Here is a 27,680-nt window from a genome sequence, read left to right on the forward strand (position 1 = left end):
GTTATTTGTGATACTTAGTTTGTGAAGAAAACTCATAAAAAAAATTTTAGGAACTGTCATCAGTATAACTGGAGAAAATGAATTGGACATTTCTAACCAATTATTTAGATAAAAATTATTTAAATCAAATTTATTTTAATATGTTTTCAATGAAAATTTTCTATAAAAATCTGAACAATGTCTGAAAAACTGAGGAGTTAAAACTTCATTGGAAGGCCAAGGCAGGTGGATCGCTTGAGGTCAGGAATTCGAGACCAGCCTAGCCAGCATGGTGAAACCCCTTATCTACAAAATATATATATAACCGGGTGTGGTGGCACACACCTGTAGTCCCAGCTACTCATGAGGCTGAGGCAAGAGAATTGCTTGAACCCAGGAGGCAGAAATTCTAGTGAGCCAAGATCGTGTCACCACACTCCAGCCTGGGCAACAGAGCGAAACTCCGTGTCAAAAAGACAAACAAAAAACTTTAATACTATAAATCTAGAGAGGGACCAACCTCCATGTTCTACATGCCTATTTAATAATAGCTAACATTTATTGAACACTTATTTGCCTGGTACTGTGTTGGGGGATTTACATGCATTATTTTGCGTAATCTAACAAATCTTTTAGGTGGGTAGATTTTTTTTAACATCTCCCTTTCCCATTTGAGAGAAAAGGCTTAACTTACCCATGACAGTAAATAAATGGTAAAGACAGGATTTGAACCCAGGAAGCCTGACTTGAGAGGCAGTGCTGTTAATCACTAAGATGCTCTAGTTGACTTTGAATTGGTGGATGCTTTTGTGACCAGTATTTATTTCCTTGAACAATGACCTCTTCAGGTTCTAAAATAATGTAGAGGAATAAAAAATTTAGGCCATTCTGTTGATTATGTGGTGTTCATACAAGGGAGGAGGTTTTTCAGTCCAAACCTAATTCCCAAAGAAAAACTTCCAGAAAAACTGTTCAAGTCCTAATATTGAGTGTCCACTTGAGTCTTTTCTTAATCGTTTTTTCTAAGTGATAACTCCATTCCTTAGGATATCAGAGAGGAAAGCTTATCTACATCTACAGTTTTTCTGTAACTCCATCCCAACACTTTTGAATCTTTTAAGCTATCTTAAGATTTACATATCCTAGAGTCTGGGTTTTTATCAAAGGACCAAAAACAGGGAAATAAGAGGTTTTATAAAGCTGTTAGAAGAAGCATCCAAAAGAACAAAAAGCAAATCATTAGTCATAAGCTAGATCTTTGAAGGGTATTCATGCTTGAAGAAGTTTCATGTTCATTTCAATATTAAGCTTCCTCTGCAACCTCACCTCATTAATACTACTTAGCATTTTCCCCCTTGGAAATATCATGAATATTGGTTAGAATTTCAAGTGAGCCCCCAAAAGACTTGCTTAGTGTATTATAGTTGTAATAATATATGCCTGCAAATAACAATAAAACAAACTTATGAATGTAGAATGTTAAAGTATCAGGGACTTAGAAGCCAAGAATTATATTACCTGCCAATACCAAAGACCCAAGAATGGTGGCTAAAACAAGATAAAAGTTTATTTTTCTCACACATAAAGCAAATTCAGAGTTTGACAGTTGCATAGTCATCAAGGACCCAAGCTACTTCTTTCTTTCTGCCTAGCTTTCCTTAGTGCATGGCTTCAATTCTCAGAGTCACTCATGGTGGAAAATGGCTATTAGAAGTCTAGTTCCTAGATCCAAGGAGGAAGTAGAAGGAAGGCAGGAAGGGCAAAATGGGCTCATATCAGTTGTCTATTATTTTGTTCCCTTTAAGATATTTTCCTACAATTTCTCCCTACAACTTTCCTGTACATTCTACTGGATGGGATTTAAGTCTATAGCAACAACTAGCTATAAGAACTAACTAGAACATTGCTACCCAGAATAAAATCAGGCTTCTCTACTTAGAAAAAAGGGGATATTTGTTTTTGGAAAGCAGCCAGCATCCTCTGTCATAAGATTGTAGGATGCGTCTCATCTAGACTTTTAAGTTCAAGCTGTTAAGACCCAGACTTCCCCAGCTGCCGATATTGCTTAATAGTGGCAGTTAAAACCCAGATGGATTGCTCATCTGTATTAACCGGAGAGCACACAATTGCTTCTGCTAATGGTAAATTGGATAGAGTGATAGTAAAACAGTGTAGCATTAATGAAGAGTTTTTTCTTGCCTCTTTACATCATCATCCCCCTTCCCCTGGATAGTTTAGAATGTTACTGTGTGCTTAGATGATGAGCCTTTCTAACTATGATCATTTTCCTTCCCCTCAAGATACAAGTTATGCTGGCTATCCAGATTCTGTGATTAAAAATAAAGGTAGTTTTAGTAGATTCTAGCACTTAACATTGGTTTTTAACAATAATGGTTTCATGACTTTGGGTAAATTTTTTAAAATTTTCTCCTGCAGTATAGCCGAAATACAGAAAGATGTGGAATACAGATTGCCATTCACCATAAACAACCTGACAATTAACATTAATATGTGAGTAGAATTGTATCCTACTTTTTCATGTAAAAGGACTTAACAGTTTTTTTATTGTTTCTTAGTTATTAGAAATAAACTTTTAAGGTGAACTTATTTCAAGTAACTATAATTTATAAAATAGTGCACAATTCAGTGAAATAAAAATATTCGAAAGCTATCACTGTTATAGTGTTATAAGAAAGAAACTAGAAAAGAGGAAATGCAATAAAAATGTGTAATACTAATTCTGAGTACTGTAATTGTTTTTATTGATAAGCACTAAAATCTTAGCAGGAGGTATGCTGAAAAATGATAATAAAAAACAAAGGGGTTATATATATAAAGCCGTTAGAGATAGATTCACCTTTAAATCAGAAACAAGTTAAAATATTCCAAATTTCAGCAACAGATATACTACATCAACCAGAAAGTTCAAGATTAGATTTGATTTGCTGATCATTTTTAAGAAAAACAAAAAAGTTAAAAGTATAATTATGAGGGTTTTACTTAAGTTACAAAAAGTTGGACAAAGTGATTGCTGAAGTAGCAATTTAGCCTTAAATGCAGCTATGAGGCTGTAGTGTGAAAAGGCTGTGATTACCTGAGGTTACATTAAGTGGCTGCTGCTAGAGCAAGTGTTTGAGCCAGATAAGAAGGCACCTAACTTGAAGACAGGAACCTTATCATATTCACCTTCACGTTCTCCTTGCCAGCATACTGCCTGTACATAGGAGACCTTATTAAATACTAATGAGTGAATTAAAGCATGAATATATAAGTGCTGTGTTAACGATATATATGAGCTTTTTTATTTATTTACTTATTTTTGAGACGGAGCCTCCCTCTGTCGCCCAGACTGGAGTGCAGTGGCACAATCTTGGCCACTGCAACCTCCGCCTCCCGGGTTCAAGCGATTCTCCTGCCTCAGCTTCTTGAGTAGCTGGGATTACAGGCACGCCCCACCATGCCCGGCTAATTTTTGAATTTTCAGTAGAGACGAGGTTTCACCATGTTGGTCAGGCTGGTCTCGAACTCCTGACCTCGTGATACACCCGCCTCGGCCTCCCAAAGTGCTGGAATTACAGGCGTATGTGAGCTTTTTGAATCCTCACAGCAGCCTTGCAAATTAGGGCAAATTACAGAAACACGGTTAGTAAGTAGCATAGTCAAGATACAAACTGGGCTCCAAAGGCCATTTAGTGCCTTTTTTACCAAACTAGTTTTAAAATCTTCAGCTTTGTAAATGAAGTAGTTTTATCTCTCATCAAATGACCAGGTAAAGCTAAGCAGGAGAGGCCAACAAGGACCCAGTTTTCTTTTCAACAGTATGACCAACAAATAGTTGTCTGAACCATCAGGGGAACAAAGAGACAATTCAAAGTAAAATATTCTTGAGTTTTAGAGATTTGGAAACAGGGTTTCATATCCAGTAAACTCTCATTTTTAAGATTTCACTCACTAATCTTGGTTTTGTAGTAGTTCAAAAAAGGTTAAAATTTCTGCTTGTGTGTGTGTGTGTGTGTTGAAAATATACTGTTCTTTACGTGAAACCATGTGATTGACCTCTAACTTGGGAGAGATGTGTCATTTGGGGCATTTAGAAGGGAGCCGTGTAGAACCAAGTCTTGATGACAGCTACATTGTTTCAATCCTCCTACTTTACATTTTATCCTCTTTAGAAATACAGTAAATAGTGAAATAATGTTTCACAGCATGTTATTTATTTTTATCTTACTTTAGTTTTTCAAAGATGAGGTCTCACTGTGTTGCCCAGGCTGGACTTGAACTCCTGGGCTCAAGTGGCTCTCCTGCCTTAGCCTCCCAAGTAACTGGGACTACAGGCATGCACCACCATGCCCAGCCGTGACAGCATTCTCAAAGTAGAAAAACCACAGAAAATTATATGGCTAGAACCTGTGGTCCAATAAATAGCCAGACTGGACTAGTATGGTTCACCTGATAAAAATGCCTGATCTAATTTCTACCTAAGATTTTGTATAGCTTGGTATATTGTGTTTGAAAGCAACTAATTGGCATGATGTGAAGAATATTCTATAATTCATGTCCATATTTCACATTAAGATTTTACTGCGTTGAATGACTAGTCTTGTTACCAAATTTTAGTCTTAAACATATTTTCAGACAACACCATAATAGAGCACTTATTACTAAATGACCCATATCAAAGTGTGAAAATTTAATTTACTTTTAAATAGCTTTGTTTTAAGATTTTGACCATATAATGTACCTTTGTTATCTTTGTTTTTGTTTTTCATCTGTTCTACCTCTACCAGATTGCTTCCTCCACAGTTTCCTCAGGAAAAACCAGTGATCAGTGTTTATCCACCAATACGACATCACTTAATGGATAAACAAGGAGTGTATGTTACCTCTCCATTAGTAAACAATGTATGTATATGGGATAATTTATTTCAGGGTAATATAATAGGTGTATTACTTTTCTACTAAATATTTTAGAAATCTGAAATGCATTTAAAGTTTCATTTTGTCATGAGTACTTTTTTTAAAAATTGAATATTTAAGACTACGCCTTAAAGTTCTTACAATATGATATGGTTGATTGTGAAAGATTATAACTTCCATATACTCTAGTATTTACCTTTGAACCCTCAAATTATTGTAAATAGTCAAGTAAGGAAATATTTTGGCTCCATTTTTTATTCAATGGACTTTTAACCTGTTTACTAATCACCAGATATTTATGGTATCGATTCTATAAGAAAATGCTATAACTTGTTAATTGCTAATATCCTTTTTCATTTAATTCTTGACCTGCAAAAGTAAGTTAATATTTAGAGTGACATTATCCTAATGAGACTTTATAATCTTTTTCTGGAAGTGATTTTAAGCGTCATGTATTGTTACTTTCAGTTTACAATGCACTCAGATCTTGGAAAAATTATTCAGAGTCTGTTGGATGAGTTTTGGAAGAATCCTCCAGTTTTAGCTCCTACTTCAACAGCATTTCCTTAGTAAGTATATTTCTAGTAAATAAAAAAGTCTGCCTGTATTTTAATGTATTAATCAAAATATAGTTTAAAAATTCAAATGATGTTAAAAATCAGTCCTCTGATTTCTACATCCCCACAAATACATCCATACTTTCAGAGGCAACTGTTTTACTCTTTTACCTGTTTCTTCTAATGTTTACCTACATCTTTCTGAATAATGTATGCGTACTTCTATCACTCGATTCTTTCATTTTAGATATTATCTGTTGGCCTCCTATTGTAATAGATGAAGATTTCAGCTGTTTTTCACTAAACTTCCTTTCTCCTCACTGTCTCAGTGAAATTATATCATGATTTTTAATATTATTCCATATTTGGTGTATTTATTACTGTGACTCTCAATATTGTCCATTGCTGAGCCAAGTATGTTACCATGTTTACATTTCCCTTATGGTGCAATTTTTTGCCTTTTTTCTGGAATTAATAATTACCTACATTTTGTATTTGGTTTGGTTTTGTTTTAGATCATCTTCATTTTCCACATCATCTTAAATTTTAAGATCTTACTAAATTTCCACAGAGCTTTTAGCAACTATGAAAAATATCCTTTAAACCATTTTTTTCATATCAAACCAGTAAGATAATACCTGGGTTTCATTGTTTCCTTCACATTCAGTGCTCCACTTCTTCCCTCCATTCTGAGTTACTCTCTATAACATTTGAGTAACTCTCACCAGGAATTTCCTTTGTTGTCATCCTGGGATTTTCCCTTTGCCACTTTCTTGTATTGGATTCTCCATTTCTTAGATTTCATTTTTCCCTTTCTCAGGCCATTTCCTAGTTTCTTGGTTTACTGCCTTCCAGTAGCTTCCTGAATAAAGTCATGTTCTCGTACTAAAGATACTGTTTTAGTCTTGTTCTTGCATTGCTATAAAGGAATACCTGAGACTGGGTAATATATAAAGAAAAGAGGTTTAATTGGCTCAGGGTTCTGCTGGCTATACAAGAAGCATGACATTGTCATCTGCTTGGCATCTGAGGAGCTTTTACTCCCGGTAGAAGGTAAAGCGGGTGCAGGCACATTACATGATGAGAGCAAGAGTGAGGAGTGGGGGAGGTACCACACCCTTTTAAACAGTCAGATCTCATGAGAACTCACTATGGCAAGGACAGCACCAAGAGGATGGCATTAAAGTATTCATGAGAAATACACCCCCATGATCCAGTCACCTCCCAGCAGGCCCCACCTCCAACATTGGGGATTGCAATTCAGTATGAGATTTAAAGGGGAAAACATCCAAACTATATCAGATGAATAACAGATTACCCTAAAAACTTTTGGTTGAAATAATGACATTTATGTTTTTATAAGAATCTACCATTTGGTTAGGGACCAGTGGCGATAACTCATTTTTGCTCCACTTTTTGCATTACCTGGTGTCGTCTGGCAGTTAATGTTGGCTTAATGGTTAGACTTCAGTGCTGATACATCTATATGTGGCATCTCCATGTGACCTGCGCTTCCTCACTGCGTGGCAGGGGTGAGATCTGAGGGTCAGGATCCCAAGAGAGAGAGCATTCCAACCAAGTGGAAGCTGTATTATCTTTTTTGGTTTAGTCCTGAATGTTATTCAGCATCATTTCTGCTGCATTTTCTAAAGTTAGTCACCTAGATCCACCCAGATTGAAAGGGGAGGGAAAGTAGACTTCATTTCTCGATGGGGTAGCAAAGTTCAAGAAGTTCATATGGGACTGGAAATCTGGTTGTGGCCATTTTGGAATATAAAGTCGGTCACATTCTTCCTCCTAGCCGTAAGAATTCACCTCTTTCCTATAGGTGAATAGGCACACTCCCCTTTCCCCAAGAACTTGCAGAGTTCATCATATTGTAGAATCAGGCTTGTGTTCTTTCATCTAAATCAGATTCAAGTACAGATGAGGTTTCTCACTTGTGTTCCTGAAGAACAATTCCTCTTGATCTGAAGACAACGGAATTAAAGAGACAAGGTAGCTGCCCCTCACACACCCACTGTACAATGGTAGAACAAGCCTCGGGTAACCACTATAGATTCCAAAAGAGAGGAAGTAGGAAGCACACAGGAGCCACTGGTTCATAACAGTACTGAAATCCAACTGGGCACATTGTTTTTTTTATTAAGACTTAGTTAATGGAAATGATTCTTCATAGAGTAATTTTCGTTTCTTGGTTCTGCCTTCTGTGTCATAATTCCTTTCTGTAAAATGTAGCCCTTGTTTCCAAGTGCATAGTTTTTTCAGCCTGCTTCCTGCCTGTAGAAATTAAGGGTCTGTTAGCCTCTTTTTCATTTGGTACTTTCTCTGTCCCTTGTAGACCCAAGATGACACAATTCCTTTAACATGCTTATGATTGGCTGGGCGCGGTGGCTCACGCCTGTAATCCCAGCACTTTGGGAGGCCGAGGCAGGCGGATCACGAGGTCAGGAGATCGAGACCATCCTGGCTAACACGGTGAAACCTCGTCTCTACTAAAAATACAAAAAAGTTAGCTGGGCATGGTGGTGGGCACCTGTAGTCCCAGCTACTCGGAAGGCTGAGGCAGGAGAATGGCGTGAACCCGGGAGGAAGAGCTTGCAGTGAGCCGAGATCACGCCACTGCATTCCAGCCTGGGTGACAGAGCAAGACTCCGTCTCAAAAAAAAAAATGCTTATGATTTCTTATGAATCCTTTTTCATTCATTTCATTAAACAAAAGCAACACCCACTAAGCTCCTCCAAATAAGCTGTTGGGCTTCCAGTGAGGCTGCTGAGAGACAATGTCTTTAAGATTCTTTGAAGCCCTAAGTGGCTGTTTTTCTTACTCGACAGCACTCTGAGGCTCTGCCTTGGCTCTTCCAGAGGTGTTAACAAAGGATCTTCTAGCCCATGCTGGGTTTGAACTTTGCTTTTAGAGGTGTTTCTTAATTTGAGAATCTTAGGGAAGCTAGGAATGAGAGATAAATTTATTTTCAAATCCAGGAAATCTCATCTTTCATATTTAGCAGTTCTTTAATTTCTCTCTCTTCTCACATTTTACTACAGCCAGCTAGAAATCAGGTGGCACCATCCGCACTGCCTGGAAATCTCCTTAGCTAGATCATCCAATTCACTAGGTACATTTTCTGTTTTCCATATTATTGCATGCAGCAGTATTGGTAAACTTTCCACTAATAAAAAGTTCTCCTTCCGGTGACCATCTGCTCAAAGGCCCACCAGGCTCCTCCTAACAGCCTCTTTGAGGCCCATTAGACCTTCATAATCTTCTGAGGGGACTTCCAGCCTATAGCTCTGCTTGGTCCCAAAGCTACTCCCACACTTTAGATTTTTGTTGTTGTTGTTGTCATAGCAGCATTCCACTTCCAGGTACTTCAGCCCTCTCCCCCTCATCTTTTTCTTCCTGTTTTCTATGTTCTAGAGTCCTGAGTCCTTATTTTCAGATAAAAAATGTATTCAAAACCCATACCTCTATCTTCTGTAGTAATAGGGCTGGATATAAACTCATTTACCTTATTTGAAAATACAAACCGACAAGTTTACTTGTTTTCATTTCAGATAAGTTCGGGGATATAGTACCATTATTAAAAATCAAGTTTGATGCATTTCTTAGATTATTTTGTGGGTTGTACCTGCTACTGAGTTCAAAATAAAGCAGATTGGGTCAGAATTATTGATTTAAATTCAAAGATATTACAAATACTCTCTCATGTTGGTTTTATTGTTTCTAAATAGCTTGTTATATTCACATACATATCACTAATTCCTTCAGATAAATTTTAAGATAAAGATGAGCCATCGTTTGAAATGAACAAGCTGATTAGAAAACTTAATTTTTTCTAGGGGTCATATATTCACCTGGCTCAAAATTCAAAAAGTATAAAGGAGTATAGAGTGAAAATCTCCGTGTCACTTTTTTCCCTTGCAGCTTAATTTTTTTTCCTCATTAGCATCTAAAGTTATTTGTTTGGGTTTGTGTATATATAATTCCTGAGCTGTTTTATTCATCTACAAGAAAATATATATAGTATTGTATTTTCCCCCTTTTTTATATGAATGGTAGCATATTTTGCCCTTCCTTTTTTTTTTTTTTTTTTTTTTTTTGGTGGAGGGGGTCACTAAATGATATGGTTTTGGAAAGTTTTTCATGTTAGTACTAAGGCACTTCCTCATTATTCCTTATAGCCACAAAGTATTTGTTTTATGGGTGTATTATAATGTCTTTAGCAAGCCTGACAGATATTTTCATGTTTTCTAACCCTCCCTCAAAAGCCCATCCTACTTCATTGCCGTCAGTGCTGCTCCAGTAAATAATCTTTAAAATAATATTTTACCCAAATGTGAGCTTATTTGTTGGATAAATTCTAGAAGTGTAATGCACATTTGTAGTTTTGACAAATGCTGCAAAATTGCCCTCCAGAGTAGTTGTACCAGTTTCTGTTCCTATACAATCCCTATTTTCCCCAGGCTGGAGTGCAGTGGCGCAATCTCGGCTCACTGCAAGCTCGGCCTCCCGGGTTCATGCCATCCTCCTGCCTCAGCCTCCCGAGTAGCTGGGACTACAGGCGCCCACCACTACGCCCAGCTAATTTTTTGTATTTTTAGTAGAGACGGGGTTTCACCGTGTTAGCCAGGATGGTCTCGATCCCCTGACCTCATGATCCACCTGCCTCAGCCTCCCAAAGTGCTAGGATTACAGGCGTGTATTAGGGTTTTATAATTTGTTTTGCTTTATCAAAGGACTAATATTTCTGTACCTTCCTTTTTCAGGCTTTTTTTCTTTCTACTGTGGCTTATTTTTCCATATACATTTTAGTGTCATTCGTATACATTTAAAAAAAATGTTTTCTTCCCACAAAATTTCCAACTCAGGTTATGTCATTAAATGAAATAATAGTACTCTCATAAAAAATTAATACATTTTGAAACATTTTTCAATGTAAAGGGAAGCATTTTAGTAGCATTACATTAATATTTAAAACATAACTGTAAGTCCCTTATCCTTTACACTAGAGTGCCTGATCCATATAAACTCACTGTATTATTCATATATTGTATTTAGATGATTCTCAGTCTGCATCTAGGTCTGAATTACTCTAATGCTTTTTAGAGTAATATAATGATCTGGTTCTCTCTAAAATTTGCTAAGGGGAAAAAATGTTAAATGTAAAATATTTGTTATCTTGCAAAAATAAATACTGACTATATTGTTCTGTGATTGAATCCAAAGTACATAATGCTGTGTGACTCTAATATACATGCGTGTTTATATATGCATCTGTTTTTAATATTTCAACATTTTAGAAGCTCATCTGCATACTTAATTTTACTTCGAAATTTTCTAGAAAAGCAGTCTTGACTTTCAGTCAGATTTTGACAAATACAGAGAAAGCTGTTAGCCTCTACTTGAATAAATGTCCTGGATTAAATATTGCTCTGCATTCCCTCTATGGAGATACTGATTGATAGCAGTGGAGTGCTGAAAACTCAAAAATGGCCTGTCTATCCACTTCTACTCCGTCCAGTTGAATTGCATGCTTTCTAAAGCACCCATCATCTTCTTTGTAGAAACCACAATTCTACAATTCTTTTTTTTCGGGGGGGTGGGGTCATATTTTACCACTTTATATAATATTTAATTCCATTATATAATTTAATAAATATCACCTGCCATTATAACATTTCATCTATATAGTACTTGACCTTTGTTATTTAGAACAATTTAGAAACAATTTGACATGTTTTATCCATAAAATCTAATGTAATGATCTTCTCTTTTTCTTTTCAGTCTATACAGTAACCCAAGTGGGATGTCTCCTTATGCTTCTCAGGGTTTTCCATTTCTTCCTCCATATCCTCCACAAGAAGCAAACAGGAGTATCACTTCTTTATCTGTTGCTGACACTGTTTCTTCTTCAACAACAAGTCATACCACAGCCAAGCCTGCCGCTCCTTCATTTGGTGTCCTTTCAAATCTGCCATTACCCATTCCCACAGTGGATGCTTCAATACCGGTTGGTATCGTCAGTTATCTATATTTTGTGCCACTGAAACATTCATTCAATCCACACACCTTTATTACATGCCTCTGTGTGCCAGATAATAAGTTAGACACAAAATATGAAAAGATGAACTCACATTTTTCAATTCAAGTAACAGGTAACCAACAAATAATAATTTTAAATATGGAGCTTCTAATTCTAGTGTAGTAGAAGGGACAGAGTTTTGGTAGAGACACAGTTAGGGGAATGGTCAGTGCTCCTAGGGACCAAGGTAGAACTAGTAGATCGCCTTTACAAAAAATGTGATTCTGGTTTTTTTCACCACTTTCTTAGTGCCTCAAATATACTGATGAATATAGTGGGTACTCTTTAAAAATGAGGCAGCTAAACAAATGCATGCATTTATGCTTGAGGCCAGATTTTGAAAGATCATTATTAATTTGCCAGAATAACAAGGGGATACATAAGGCATTCTTTGAGAGGCAGTAACATTGTCAAAGACATTGAGGTAGAAACTGGATGGCATTTTTGTGAAGCTGCCTATAGTAGATCTCTCTGGCTGCCATATAGGGTGTGGGCAAAGGCAGAAGAATGATCATGTGGGAGCAGCAGGTGTCACATTATGATGGGTCTGCTAACATACGCTGAGGGCTTCAAGTGTTCCGTTGGTTTAAAAGCTTGTATATTCTTAAGCTGGTAACTGTTGCTATGTGGAATGTTCCTGAAGGAGAGACTAATACTTAGGGCATGAAACATTTAAAGGGGTATAAAACCTTTCAATTAAAACCCTCAGTGAATATCACCCATAGCATTACTCAAGTATGAAACCATAGTATATCCAACATTACTAATTTCAGAGTTTATAATCATTTAGAAGATACAGACCTAAGTGGACTTGGTTTTTCCAAAACCTTTCATTTATTGTGTTAATGAGTGTTGTGAACAAATTACAGTTAGTAGTGTGAACAAAATTACAAGAGGACTTTTCAAGGGTCCTCAAGGATAAAAAGTCATATATATTCAAACAGTGGCTACTCGGTTGCTCATCTACCCTACCGTCTCATGTGACTGAGGCATGTAACTATTCAGACTGTTGATAAATTATTGCTTTTGTATATTTAATGCCTTTCACTTGAGAGAAACATATTCATATATACCAATGAAATCTACAGCCATGTACTTAGACAAGAAAGAGAACTACCAGTTCTCTACCTAACACAGGTCCTCACATGGCCATCACCAAAAAAAAAAGTAATCCTATGTATACGACGCTGAAAAGAAGACAGACTGAAGGAAGAAGGGGAGACTAAGGCAGTGTGAGATGTGAAGATGAAAATATGATAATGCAAACAGTTATGGGATATAGTACATTAAAGATTACGTTTATTAGTAATTGAGAGCAGTCAAAAATAATGGCTGAAATTTAATATCATTTAAAACTTTTCTTTAGACAAGCCAAAATGGTTTTGGGTACAAGATGCCAGATGTCCCTGATGCATTTCCAGAACTCTCAGAACTAAGGTAAACCTGGAAAGTAAAGTTGGTCACATTGTCTATTTTATTTGTAAGCATAAACCAGATTATTATTTCATATCCATATAAATTAAAGTTTAAAATTTTCACTAATCCTAAACAATATTGTTGTTGCCTTAGTGGGATTTAAAAATCAGTTTTAGGTCCTATAGGTTACATTTATTGAGTGACTGGTACATACTCAGGGATTTTTATAGGATTTTTATAATGATATAATAGTTACCAAGATAACAAAATCCTTTCTGTCATGTGGCCTGCATTCTTTGAAAAATATTTTTGAATACATTATTCCTGACAATTTCAAAATATATCTTGGCCTATTTTAGATCTTCCATTGTTCCCTTAGTAGATAAACTTTACATATAGAGAAATAAAGTTATAAAGTATTAGGTGTTTTTACAGATCCAAACTTTTTTTCAAATTTATAGCAGAAAAGTTTATAATCAAATTTAAGGTGCCATTTTTCATGGAACTTTGCTTCTCTAAAATGTTTCATGAAGAAAATGGTTTTTTGCCATTCAGTTTTGGGAAGCACTGCACCCTTTATACCCCCATTGAGAGTTCATGATACTCATAAGGCTCTTATTACTAATAAGACTACTGAATGCAGTTAGACTTTTTCTTTATTTTTTTGCAGTCCTTTTTGTCTTTAGGATATATCTCATCAAAGATGTACAGCCAAGTACCCATGAGAAATTCTGTAGTTTAAAAAGAGTTTAAATTTATTTGCACCAGTGTTTTATAGTCATTTTAAGGAAATAGTGATTTATTGTCTTCTGTAATAAAATGAATATTTACAATATACTGCATACATTAAAGGTTAATATGCATTGTAATGCTCACAATAACCCCATAAGGTAGGAGTTCTCATTTAATAAGATTATCTTTTTTGCTTTAAATTTTTTTTAAATAATTGTTATGAAAACATCAAAAATGCAAAAAAGGTGAAGAAACTAGTATAATGAGCCACCACGTATCCATCATGTGGCAACAACAGCTATAAACCCTTTTGCTCACCATGCTTCATGCCTCTTCTATCCAGCTTTCTTGGAGGGCTGTAGGTATGAGTCACCATTATTCTAAAGCAAATCCCAGATAATACATCCTTTTTAACCCATCAATTCTTCAGTAAATTTTTCTACCAGGTAAGGATTTTCTTTCCTTTTAACCATAACCCCAGTCACCATCATCATCATACCTAACACAATTAATGGTAATTCTTTAATATTACCTTATTTCTCCAGTGTCTTAATAATTAATATTTTTGTGGGCAGTTTGTTTGAATCAGGATTCAAAACGAGTTCCACCTATTGCATTTGGATAGTGGATCTCTTAAGTTCCTTTTAATAATGAACCATTTCTCCCCAACTTTTCTCTTTTATACACACACACACACACACACACACACACACACACACACACAGACATATACATATGTGTATTTACATATGTTCGTATACATGTACACAAATATGGGAATAAATACATGTCCATGTACATACATCCATGCGTGTATATTAGACATAGTGTGTGTTTATTAAATTGGTTATTTGTCCTATAAAATTTTCCATATCCTGTTTTTTCCTTAGTGCCTCCTTGTGGTACCATTGAAGATGTTTCTCTGTTTCCCATAGTTTATGCTGCTGGTGGCTAGAAGTAGACAAGGTTCAATTCTTTTGCCAATACTTATGTCATAATTACTGCATGCTTCTTTTTACATCCTATGAGGCAGCAGTGAGGTCTGGTTGCCCTTTTTTTAGTGACATTAAGATTATATCAGGTTAAAGCACCTGAAATCATTGACCATCATTAATATAGCAAGGGTCATAAATATGATTTAATGATTTTATCATTACCACCAGAATTTATTAACCAGAATTACTCTATGAAGAACTTGACTTAATCAACTACATATTTAGTTATACTGAAGTATACTTCATACAGGACCAAGAAAAATGCTTAAATTTTTCCCCTTATATTATCACCTGTCACAATAATGAGTTGCTGCACTATCTGTCTCCAAAAGTTGCTCTGATGGGTGAGAAACTCAAGTTGCCTTCTGTATCGTTTTTGGCAAAGTGAAGATGCTGTGGGCTCATCATGAACATTTCTTCTCCCAGACCTAGAGTCAGCCATTTCTCTGAAGGGTGCTTGTTCTTTTCCAAAATAACAATACCAGTACTGTTACTAAGATTATTGAATGCAGGTTAAATTTTTGTTTTTGTTTTTTACAGTTCTGTTGTCTTTAGGATATGACATGCCAGAATATACTGTTGTTTTTTTAATCTCTCCAAATAATTTTTCTCTGGGTGTTGATATAACTTAGAATATACAGGTTTATTTATTTTCAAAGCAGTCCATTTTCCCTGAATTTTAAAGACTGCTTTTTCTTTTCTTCTTTATTTTTAAATTATCCAACGTTTTTATATGGCTCCATAGTCAAAACTAAGATACGTTCAGAAAAGTTTTGCTTCCATCCATATCTGCTCCACCTAGTTCTTTCACCCTACAGATACCCATTTTTGTTTTTGGTTTAGCCCTCCATTATTTCTTTTCTTTAAATATTTTATGAATATCTGTACACACATATACATAAACACACATAAACATATCTATAACTCTTACTGTGACAGCCACACATCTGTAAGCTAAATAGTCACAGAGGTTAAAACGGAGTTGTTGTGACTGCTTATGTGCCGTGTCTTACTGGTCCTACAGTAACTGACATTATACACTAGCAGAGACTGTTTATCTTGTAGAGTCTTGGGAGATTTTACTGGCTACATTTTGGCCAACACATCCTTGGAATCATGCACTGACCTGGTCTAAAGCTGACTAGAGGAAAAAGCCAAAATGTTACAGTAACTACTCTGGCCTCTTTTCAGCTCTGTTTCCCTCTTATCAATACATACAATGAAATGACTAGGAAGAAATTCTTCTCATGCTACCTTGTCTGTGAACTTGTACTTGTCTGAATTTACTATAGTACTAGTGTGTTCAACATTATGCTTGGAAGAAATAAATAGCTTAAATTTTACATATCAGTAAGTCTGGTTCCTATCAGGGAAATTTAAGAAATAAGTGATATTCTCAAGCAATTAAGTTAAACAGAATTAAGAACAAGAAAAAAATACTTAACTATATTACTGCTGTCCTATTTTAAGAAACCTAAGCTGAATAAGCTCCTTAGTTTCATACATTGTTCTTTACCTGAGTTAAGTTGACTTTATTTTTAATTTCAGGTCACTGTATAACTGTGAACACTTCCCCACGGTTGTGATTTTTAAAGAAAGTAGATATATCGATATATCCATTGGACCAAAATTTACTTTTACAGATTCTGTCAAGAATATATTACAGACTGCTCTATGTTCCATTGTGGTTGATGTTTTATTTGATTTTAAGGTTAAAACTGGCAGCCTTAGGTGTATATGTAAAAATTATTTAGAACCCTATCAGTTAACTAAAGCTGAAAAATTGTAAATAGTTGTCATGGAGAAAAACTCGATGTCTGATATTTATTGACATTTTTTCTTTTGTGTTTCTAGTGTGTCACAACTCACAGATATGAATGAACAAGAGGAGGTATTACTAGAACAGTTTCTGACTTTGCCTCAACTAAAACAAATTATTACCGACAAAGATGACTTAGTAAAAAGTATTGAGGAACTAGCAAGTATGTTTTCCCTCTCCTGAGCGCACATTTCCTGAAAAAAATCTCATCTTTACCTAGAAGTAAACTAGAGATTTATCTTACAGGAAAAAATCTCCTTTTGGAGCCCAGCTTGGAAGCCAAAAGACAAACTGTTTTAGATAAGGTGAGTTAGTGATAATTTTGAAGAAATTTACATAATTTAAAAATAGAATAAAACAACCTTTTCATTTTCTCTTTTAGTATGAATTACTTACACAGATGAAGTCCACTTTCGAAAAGAAGATGCAAAGGCAGCATGAACTTAGTGAGGTAAGACTGTTTATTTTTTTCCCTTTGCCATAGATTTTTTTTTTAATCTTATGTGCATGAGTCCTGATCTCACTTTCATTATCATCAGAAACCATTTATGAGGTATCTGACCTTATAAGACATGATACCTTTAAACGTGGATGAACAGCTCTCAGTGATGAGGCATCATACATTATTTGTGCTCATATAAGAGCGTATTTGTTTCTAAAACAGAAAATTATGACAGGCCCTGACACATAACTTTTCTGGGTAAGTTATGAAACCATTGTAACACTTGTAGTGAAACCTAGCAATAACAACAAAAACTTTCGACTCACTTGTAAGCTTATCTACAAATACCTTAAATGAAAAGTTCGCAAATTAAAAAGAATAATATATGAAAAATATATAGTATTATCTGCTACAAATAAGTTTTATGCTAGAAATCCAGTTATGTGAAAATCAAAAGAATTTTATAAAATTCAACCTATATTTCTGAAAAAAAAGGAATCTTTGAAAAGGAACCAGAGGACATAATCTTTGTATCATACCAATAACAACCTCATAGTTAATATTCTGTTTCCTGTAAAATTAGGAACTTTGGGTAAAGTCAATGAAATAAAACATAAAATAGACATAAACCAACAACAGCAAAAAAGATGGTAAAGGAGAATATAAATTTATAATGAATTTCAGATAATACGGTCATTTGTCAGAATAAAGAAATAATAGCTAACATTGAGCAATTAATATGTCTTGCACCGCATGAAGCTATTTACGTATATTGGGCCATTATTACACCAAATCCTATGAAATAGGTATTGTTACTTTTTCCCATTTTACATTTTACAGATAGGGAAACTGAGGCACAGGGAGATTAAATAAATTTCTTGAGGTCATACAAGTAGAAACATTAGTTAGGAGTGTAACCTAAGCAGTCCTCCTTCACAGAAAATCTGTGAGACTCAACTGAAGTACTGTTAGATATATACTGGACCTTAGTAAATGTTGAAGAAGCTTTCATAGTACTCAACATCATTCTTTATACAAACTCTTAGTAAACTAAAAATAGAAATTTCTTATTTGAAAAAGAATACTAGAAACCAGCAGTAAACCTCACAATTACTACACATTTCTAGGATCCCATTAATGTTAGGAATAAGAGAGTAATGCCTCATGATCACTGCTGTTTAACGTTGTTTGGGAGGTTTTGAGTACTGCAAGACCAAAAAAAAGTGGTATAACATAAAAAGAAGAAATGAAACAGTTGTTTACCAAAAATAAACAATCAAAAATTCTAGAGAACTGAGAAATTTTTTCCTGTTTGCTCCAGCAATTACTACTGCAAAATGAAGTACAGAAAACAACTCATTTACCATAGGAACAAAATTGTAAAGTACTTAGAAGTAAACCCAATGAAGTAAGTTAGGAAACTTTATTGAATGCCATAAAAGAAGAGCTGAGTTTTGTATTTTCTAAGACTATTTAGAGCAGCATAGAATATTCATTGAATGAAAGATCCATTATTAAAAAGATTTCATTCTCCCCAAAATAACTTAGAAATTGAATACAGTTCTTATCAAAATGCCAAGAATATTTTTTTTATCTTAACAGTTTATTCTAAAGTTCATCTGAAACTTTATTTTTCAGATGGGTAGTCAGGAAGAGCTTGAACAAAAAGAAAAAATGAAAAAAACTCCCTTTCCCAGTATCAGAATACACTGTAAATCCTCATTATTTAAAACAGTATAGTAGTTTTATAGGAAGAGAAAATTATTTCTATGGAACAGACTATGTAGTTCAAAAATAGACTTGTGTATGTGAATAATCAGTTGGAAAAAATTGAGGATTCAATAAATTATAAAATTGGTTATTTAGTATCCATTTAGAAAAAGGTTAGATCATTGTATCATACAATACACAGAAAGTTTATTACAGATAAACTGCTTCAGCGGAAACCATAAAACGTCAACTAGCTTCTAGGATTTTTTCTTTAAGATTATGGTGGGAAAAGCCTTTCTTAGCATAATAAAACAGATATGAGCATAAAGGAAAAACTCGACATATTTACCTCTACAGATTGAAAACTCAGATATATTAAAAAATCATGAAATCAAAATTGAAGTTAAAAAAAGGGTACAGATATTTTTAGCCTATACAACAAATACTAATGCCAGTGGTCTATTGGAAAAGGAAACAACAGGAAACTGACAAAAGGAGAAATATAAATGTCCAATAAAGATTCTGCTTTAACAGTTATTCTGATCCTTAAACATTCATATAAGAATTGCTGGAAGTGACTCTTCAAACACTTAAAAAAAAGACACACACACACACACACACAAAACAATGATTCCTAGGCTTCTTTCTAGATGTTCTCAGTCAAAATTTTCTGGGGATGATGAATCTTCTGCGCTCTTACATATGGAAACCACTTCATTAGACCATTGGTTCCGTGATGGAGGAATCTGTTCTGTTTCATTTCTACTGTACACCTAATATCTGGTTCAGTGGTTGGCACATAATAGGTACTCAATAAATATTTAATGAATAAATAACTGGAAACTTTGGAAAATATGTTCAACTTTACTGTAATTTTTTAAAAAGCCAAATAAAACATCCATGTGAGCCATATTTGTGAAGATAGATAACCAGTTTTGGCAAGGGCAATGAGAAAATGGTGCATTACAGTTCATTTTTATTTATGAGTCACAAAGAGATACTACCCCACATGCATTAGCATGGCCATTATTTTTTTTTTCTTACTCTGTCACCCAGGCTGGAGTGCAGTGCTGCAGTTACAGCTCACTGCAGCCTTGACCTCCCAGGCTCAAGCGATCCTCCCAATTCATCCTCCCAAGTAGCCAAGGCTACAGGTGCATGCCACCACACCTGGCTAATTTTTGTATTTTTTGTAGAGACGGGGTCTCGCTATGTTGCCCAGCCTGGTCATGAACTCCCAGGCTCAAGCCATCTGCTTGCCTCAGGCTCCCACAGTGCTGGGATTACAGGCATGAGCCACCACGTCAAGCAGGATAGCTATTATTAAAAAATCATTTTAGTGCCTAGATTTAGGTCTTTGATCCATTTGGAATCAATTTTGTATTTAAGTAAGGTAAGGGTCCAACTTTTTTCCTTTGCCTGTCGATAATCCAGTTTTTTCCAGCACCATTTGTTGAAAAGATTCCTTTCCCCATTAACTGGACTGGGCTCCCTGGTTGAAAATCATTTGGCCATATGTGTGAGGGTTTATTTCTGGGCTGTCTATTCTGTTCCATTGTTCTTTATGTTTTTATGCCAGTACCACAGTTTTGATTACTGTAACTTTGTTAGTAACTTGACATGAGGAAATATTAATCATCTTTAAGATTGTTTTGGCTATTTGGGGTCTCTTGAGATTCCGTATGAATTTTAGGATAGGTTTTTCTATTTTTGCAAAAAATGCCCTTGAGATTTTGATAGGGATTGCATTGAGTCTATAGGTTGCTTTGATTAGTAATGTCTTCTTAAGAATATTAAATCTTTCAACCCATAAACATGGGATGTCTTCCAGTAATTTATGTCTTCAATTTCTTATAGCAGTGTCTACAGTTTTCTGTTTATCAGTCTTTCACTGCTTTAGTGAAATTTAATCCCATCATTTTTGCCTTATTCTATTGAAATGAGTCGTCAGGTTCAGCCCACACTCAATGGTGGGATTATGCAAGGGCAGGAATACCAGGAGGTGAGGTCATTAGTGGAGCGTCTCCTTAGCATATATCTACCACAGTGATTTAATTCGTAAATCCTTAGGAGAGAACAATGATTTTCCCAGTTTCTCTCATTTAATAGTTTGCAGCCAATAGATTAGTTTCTCTTGAGTTAGGTGTCTACCCCTATCCAAAAGCTAAGGACCTGGGTGGGGCATTATAAGACAGCAGATTTTCTCAAAAAGAGGCTATATAGGGCATATAATAAATTGCCTCTCCATACCACTACCTTACTTCCTTTCCCTGTGAGGAGTTCTTGTGAGTATCATAAATTAAAGTAGTGCCTGATTTTCTTTTTCAGAGCTGTAGTGCAAGTGCCCTTCAGGCAAGATTGAAAGTAGCTGCACATGAAGCTGAGGAAGAATCTGATAATATTGCAGAAGACTTCTTGGAGGGAAAGATGGAAATAGATGATTTTCTCAGTAGCTTCATGGAAAAGAGAACAGTATGTAATACTCGTCAGTTGAGGACAAGTATTGGATAAAGTTTGGTATTTTTATAGAGGAGGAGAAGCACTGGGTGTTAGCTATTTCTCTATTATGATATCATCCCCCTTTTTTTGTACAATATATTTACCTGAAAGGAAGGTTTCTATTCCTTGGGTGTGGACTTGGGCAAAAACCAGGTTCCTGGAACTTAAAACTTTGAAGGTCTGTCATAGGACTCTGGACAGCCACACACCTTAGCTATTCCCAGGGGACCCCAGGGGGGCAACTGCCATTGCTCTAAGATGTCCTTTTGATGTGACTTGAGATATAAATGAGAGTGAGGGCCTGTACGTGTGGCTATTTCCTGTCTGGTATGTCAGAGGAACAGTCCTGGTCAGAAGGGGGCTCTTCTGAGCAGAAATTGCTAATAAACTTTGTGCTGATCTGGAAAAAAAAAAATTTTTTTTTTGACAGCATAGTATCAAATTACTTTAGCATACTCATGAGTGAAAAACATTAGCACATTACTGAACTGGAGTTTTGAGTGCTGTGAGAGGAACCTGAAAAGCCTCTTGAGAATAATAGCAGCATCTTCCTATCACTTTAGACTTGCTTTTTCTGAGTATACAAGCAGGTAAATCAAATAGTTGTTTCAGAAATGGTAGTATCTGTATCATTCTGTAATACAGCTGATAAATCTAGTCCTAATAGTTGAAATAGACTCCTCAATGACTTGTTTTACCACTTGTTGAAAGAAAGAATAACGTACAGGGATTATAGAATACATTTTTAAAAATTGAGAAACAGTTTCTGTTCTGTTCTGATATTTCTGTTGTATTTAAAGAAAAATCCAAAAAAGTCTGCTTAATAGTTTCTTGCCTTTTAATACAGTCCAAAATATTTACCTAATTTGTCTGAAATAATCACATTTTAAAAATAGTATTTTGTTAGTAAACTTTATGAAACATCTGTGAGACATACACACACACATACACACACTCCTGTTAAGGCAGATGAGGTGGATTTTATCATTCCCATTTTTCATGAGAGGAAATTGAAGTTCAGAGATGTTAGTGACTTACTTATGGTTATAGTGTTAGTAAGGCATTGATTTCTGCTCCATTATTCTTCAATGCTGTGTAACTGTGCCTTGAAGCTTGTATCTGTTAATCTTCCTGCTTAACAGTAGCAGAATTTACGTCCATTTTTTTAAACATAGATATTTAAAGTTAGATAATTGATATAAAGGATCAGTGTTTTTTACATTCTAGAAGCTTGTAGGCGAAGGCTGTCTTCCAAGCAAGAGCGTTTTTTTGTTTTTTTGGTTGTTAAATTCTTAGCTGTCGTCAACATTAGCTATCTTCAACATTCAATTATTAGATTACTACCTAATTCAAAATGAATTGGTGTCATGTGATCCTCTGCCCAGTCGACTGGGCTGAGGGAGTGGATTATGAGAAGGGAGCATGAGAGGTTCCCTAAAACAGGGACTGGGGTGCAGGAAAGAAGATGACAGGCATGTCTCATGTCCCATTCAAAGTATTATCTGCTCCTTGTACCATTAGTGCTAATGAAATGAATTTGCTCATAATTTGATAATTTTAGCTATTAGATTATTAGCTATCTTCAACATTCAAAACATAAAATAATGCCAACAAGTTAAAAGCTTCCTGTCATACTGTTGGAAGTAAAGTAGTAGGCATATCTTTGTAAAAGTGACTGGTATTTTCAAAAATTTATTTTCTAGATTTGCCACTGTAGAAGAGCCAAGGAAGAGAAACTTCAGCAGGCGATAGCAATGCACAGCCAATTTCATGCTCCACTATAGGTAAATTGTATTTCAAGTTTGAGTCTCAAGGTGATTGCATCAGTGTTCTTTAAATAGACATGTTGTTAACGGTGCCTGTTCATCAGCCTTAAGCATAATTCTGTCATTATAGTTACTGTGCTATGTAACATAGAATGCTTTGTATTATATAATAAGCATAATATAAACATATAACTAGTAGAAATCTTTTGGATATTTTCTGTGATCTTGGCATGAATGAGATTTTTTTAACATTAGCTGCTAATGTAGAATTGTAAGTTATAGTCAGTTCCTTTCTCTCACCTGGTGTGTAGAGTATACCTTGTCATGTGGCTAACATTTCTCAGAAGGCTCCTTTGTCATTTCTTCCTTTAAAGTGAACTTCCAGCCAGTCTCTTTCTCTATCCCACACCACGATTACTCTAATAATTCACCTGTCCCCACGACTTGAGGGTTCTCTTCCTATGCAGCACTGATAGAATGATCTTCCTAAAATACCACTTTTATGATAAAATTTGCTCTACTCCAGAACCTGTAATTAATCGCTAGTAATGACAGTATCCATGCCAAATTCCTCTGCTTTTAAGATTTCCATAATCTTGCATATATTTCAGATCATCCATTTTAACTTTGCATTTTCCCCTTACATTGCGTTGTCTTACATGGCACATTCTTTCTTCTACCACGGTATCTTTGGCCGTGCTTGTACCTGATGTTAAGATGCCTTTCCTTTTCCTCTGCATCTGTTTTGTTTTAGGAATGATTTGTTTGCAAGAATAGTTCCCACCCCAACAAACTTAAGTAAAAGCTTATGTTATTTGATAGGACAGGGATTTATTATAGAGTAAAAATGAAGGAAAGTACAGTCACCTGAGACTGAAAACAGCCACTCAGTGACCAAAACAGCTCTTCTCACACCTTTTTTGAGGCTGCTTGTTTGGTTGTTTCTTATTTCTGCATCTCTATTCTTTTTTAAAATTTTTTCTGGCCGAGCGCAGTGGCTCATGCCTGTAATCCCAGCACTTTGGGAGGCCGAGGCGTGTGGATCACATGGTCAAGAGATCGAGACCATTCTGGCTAACACAGTGAAACCCCGTCTCTACTAAAAATACAAAAAAAATATTAGCCGGGCATGGTGGCAGGCACCTGTAGTCTCAGCTACTCGGGAGGCTGAGGCAGGAGAATGGCATGAACCTGGGAGGCAGACCTTGCAGTGAGCCGAGATCACGCCACTGCACTCCAACCTGGGTGACAGAGCAAGACTCTGTCTCAAAAAAAAAAAAATTCTTTTTTCTTACTAGCCCTTCACGTATTCCTGATTATATCATCTGACAGTTCAGACAGCCGATGGAGATAAACAAGAGTCCCTGGAGTTCTAGAACATTCCCTGGAAGAGTAACTGACCCAGTATGGGCAAGCTATCCATCCTACTGTAGTCAGTTTGGCCTGGAAATTGGTATCCTGTGGTCCTCTGCCCAGTCGACTGGGCTGAGGGAGTGGATTATGAGAAGAGAGCATGAGAGGTTCCCTAAAACAGGGACTAGGGTACAGGAAAAGAAATGACAGGCGTTTCTCATGTCCAGTAAACTATTTCTGCTCCTTGTAACATTAGTGCTCACAATGAATTGTTTTATGTGTTACTTTCCAAATCATACTATAAATTCCTTAAGGGTAGGGGCTGATTTTTGATACCAACTTTGCATATCTGCCAGCTTAAGAAGAAGTAGACACAGAGTAGTTGCTCATTTATATGAACATACTCAAATCCGTTCCTTACCTCTATTCCCTCATAGTCAAGTTATTTTATAGGAAAATCTTTTTTATTATTATTATGCTTTAAGTTCTGGGATACATGTGCAGAACGTACAGGTTTTTTACATAGGTATACATGTGCCATGATGGTTTGCTGCACCCATCAACCTGTCATTGACATTAGGTGTTTCTTCTAATGCTATTCCTCTCCTTGCCCCCAACTCCCCAACAGGCTCCAGTGTGTGATGTTCCCTCCTTGTGCCCATATGTTCTCATTGTTCAATTCCCACTTATGAGTGAGAACATGCATTAGTTGGTTTTCTGTTCCCGTGTTAGTTTCCTGAGAATGATGGTTTCCAGCTTCGTCTGTGTCCCTGCAAAGGACATGAACTCATTCTTTTTTATGGCTGCATAGTATTCCATGGTGTATATGTGCCACATTTTCTTTATCCATTCTATCATTGATGAGCATTTGGGTTGGTTCCAAGTCTTTGCTATTGTGAATAGTGCTGCAATAAACATACGTGTGCATGCGCCTTTATAGGAGAGTGGTTTATAATACTTTGGGTATATACCCAGTAGTGGGATCTGGGTCAAATGGTATTTCTAGTTCTAGATCCTTGAGGAATCACCACACTGGTCTTCCATAATGGTTGAACTAATTTACACTCCCACCAACAGTGTAAAGGTGTTCCTATTTCTCCACATCCTCTCCAGCATCTGTTGTTTCCTAACTTTTTAATAATTGCCATTCTAACTGGTGTGACATGGTATCTCATTGTGGTTTTGATTTGCATGTCTCTAGTGACCAGTGATGATGAGCTTTTTTTCATGTTGGTTGGCTGCATAAATGTCTTCTTATGAAACTGTTCATATCCTTAGCCCACTTTTTGATAGGGTTGTATTTTTCTTGTAAATTTAAGTTCCTTGTAGATTCTGGATATTAGCCCTTTGTCAGATGGATAGATTCCAGAAATTTTCCCCATTCTGTAGGTGGCCTGTTGATTCTGATGGTAGTTTCTTTGCTGTGCATAAGGTCTTTAGTTTTATTAGATCTCATTTGTCCATTTTGGCTTTTGTTGCCATTGTTTTTTTGTGTTTTAGACATGAAGTCTTTGCCCATGCCCATGTCCTGAATGGTATTGCCTAGGTTTTCTTCTAGGGTTTTTATGGTTTTAGGTCTTAACGTTTAAATCTTTAATCCATCTTGAGTTAATTTTTGTATAAGGTTAGGAAGGGGTCCATTTTTAGTTTTCTGTGTATGGCTAGCCAGTTTTCCCAACACCATTTATTAAATAGGGAATCCTTCCCCCATTGCTTTTGTCAGGTTTGTCAAAGATCAGATGGTTGTAGATGTGTGGTGTTATTTCTGAGGCCTCTGTTCTGTTCCATTGGTCTGTATGTCTGTTTTGGTACCAGTACCGTGCTGTTTTGGTTACTGTAGTCTTGTAGTATAGTTTGAAGTCAGGTAGCATGATGCCTGCCGCCAGCTTTGTTCTTTTCGCTGAGGATTGTCTTGGATATATGGGCTCTTTCTTGGTTCCATATAAAATTTAAAGTATTTTTTCTAATTCTGTGAAGAAATTCAATGGTAGCTCGATGGGAACAGCATAGAATCTATAAATTACTTTGGTCAGTATGGCCGTTATCACGATATTGATTCTTTCTATCCATGAGCATGGAATGTTTTTCCATTTGTTTGTGTCCTCTCTTATTTCCTTGAGCAGTGGTTTGTAGTTCTCCTTGAAGAGGTCCTTCATATCCCTTGTAAGTTGGATTCCTAGGTATTTTATTCTCTTTGAAGCAATTGTGAATGGGAGTTCACTCATGATTTGGCTGTTTGTCTATTATTGGTGTATAGGAATGCTTGTGATTTTTGCACATTGATTTTGTATCCTGAGACCTTGCTGAAGTTGCTTATCAGCTTAAGGAGCTTTTGGGCTGAGACAGTGGGGTTTCCTAAATATACAATCGGGTCATCTGCAAACAGAGAAAAATTGACTTCCTCTTTTCCTATTTGAATACCTTTATTTCTTTTTCTTGCCTCATTGCACTGGCCAGAACTTCCAGTACTGTGTTGAATAGGAGTTGTCTTGTGCCAGTTTTCAAAGGCAATGCTTCCAGCTTTTGCCCATTCAGTATGACATTGGCTGTGGGTTTGTCATAAATAGCTCTTATTATTTTCAGATACATTCCATCATTACCTAGTTTACTGAGTGTTTTTAGCATGAAGGGGTGTTGAATTTTATCGAAGGCCTTTTCTGCATCTATGAGATAATTGTGGTTTTTGTCATTGCCTCTGTTTATGTCGTGGATTACGTTTATTGATTTGCGTATGTTGAACCAGCCTTGCATCCCAGGGATGAAGCCAACTTGATCGTGGTGGATAAGCTTTTTAATGCGCTGCTGGATTCAGTTTGCCAGTACATTAATGAGGATTTTCGCATTGATGTTCATCAGGGATATTGGCCTGAAATTTTCTTTTGTTGTTGTGTCTTAGCCAGGTTTTGGTATCAGGATGATGCTGGCCTCATACAATCAGTTAGGGAGGAGTCCCTCTTTTTCTGTTGTTTGGAATAGTTTTAGAAGGAATGGTACCAGCTTCTCTTTGTACCTCTGGTAGAATTTGGCTATGAATCAGTCTGGTACTGGGCTTTTTTTGGTTGGTGAGCTATTACTGCCTCGGTTTCAGAACTTGTTATTGGTCTATTCAGGGATTTGACTTCTTCCTGGTTGGGAGGATGTATGTGTCCAGGAATTTATCCATTTCTTCTAGATTTTCTAGTTTGTGTAAAGGTGTTTATAGTATTCTCTGATGGTAGGTTGTATTTCTGTGGGATCGGTGGTGATCTTTTTTTTGTTGTTGTTGTTTTGTGATGGACTCTCATTCTGTTGCCCAGGCTGGAGTGCATTGGTATGATCTTGGCTCACTGCAGCCTCCGCCTCCCAGGTTTAAGCAGTTCTCTGCCTCAGCCTCCCAAGTAGCTGGGATTATAGGCATGTGCCATCACAC

The 27,680-nt window shown here is 36.1% G+C and overlaps 1 protein-coding gene across 18 annotated transcripts in view; it reads left to right on the forward strand.

The window, feature by feature from the left end:
- Positions 1 to 27,680, forward strand: part of VPS37A (VPS37A subunit of ESCRT-I) — an 86,498-nt gene that overhangs the window by 16,534 nt on the left and 42,284 nt on the right. For 9 of the 18 annotated variants that reach the window (XR_007060695.1, XR_007060696.1, XR_007060697.1 and 6 more), the window contains exons 2-11: positions 2,416 to 2,490; positions 4,767 to 4,881; positions 5,365 to 5,465; positions 11,242 to 11,467; positions 12,906 to 12,976; positions 16,537 to 16,664; positions 16,748 to 16,806; positions 16,884 to 16,952; positions 20,982 to 21,125; positions 22,856 to 22,936. Coding sequence is in view for 12 of the 18 variants with exons in the window: in NM_001363173.2 (NP_001350102.1) it covers positions 2,416 to 2,490; positions 4,767 to 4,881; positions 5,365 to 5,465; positions 11,242 to 11,467; positions 12,906 to 12,976; positions 16,537 to 16,664; positions 16,748 to 16,806; positions 16,884 to 16,952; positions 20,982 to 21,125; positions 22,856 to 22,936 (1,069 nt within the window). In the remaining 6 variants the exon portion in view is untranslated. Of the gene's footprint in view, positions 1 to 2,279; positions 2,325 to 2,415; positions 2,491 to 4,766; positions 4,882 to 5,364; positions 5,466 to 11,241; positions 11,468 to 12,905; positions 12,977 to 16,536; positions 16,665 to 16,747; positions 16,807 to 16,883; positions 16,953 to 20,981; positions 21,126 to 22,855; positions 22,937 to 27,680 lie in introns of all 18 variants that reach the window. The other 9 variants (NM_001363172.2, NM_001363170.1, XM_047421354.1 and 6 more) reach the window with 7 other exon arrangements.

The sequence above is a fragment of the Homo sapiens genome, chromosome 8 (genome assembly GCF_000001405.40).
Source record: "Homo sapiens chromosome 8, GRCh38.p14 Primary Assembly".
Taxonomy (NCBI): Eukaryota; Metazoa; Chordata; class Mammalia; order Primates; family Hominidae; genus Homo; species Homo sapiens.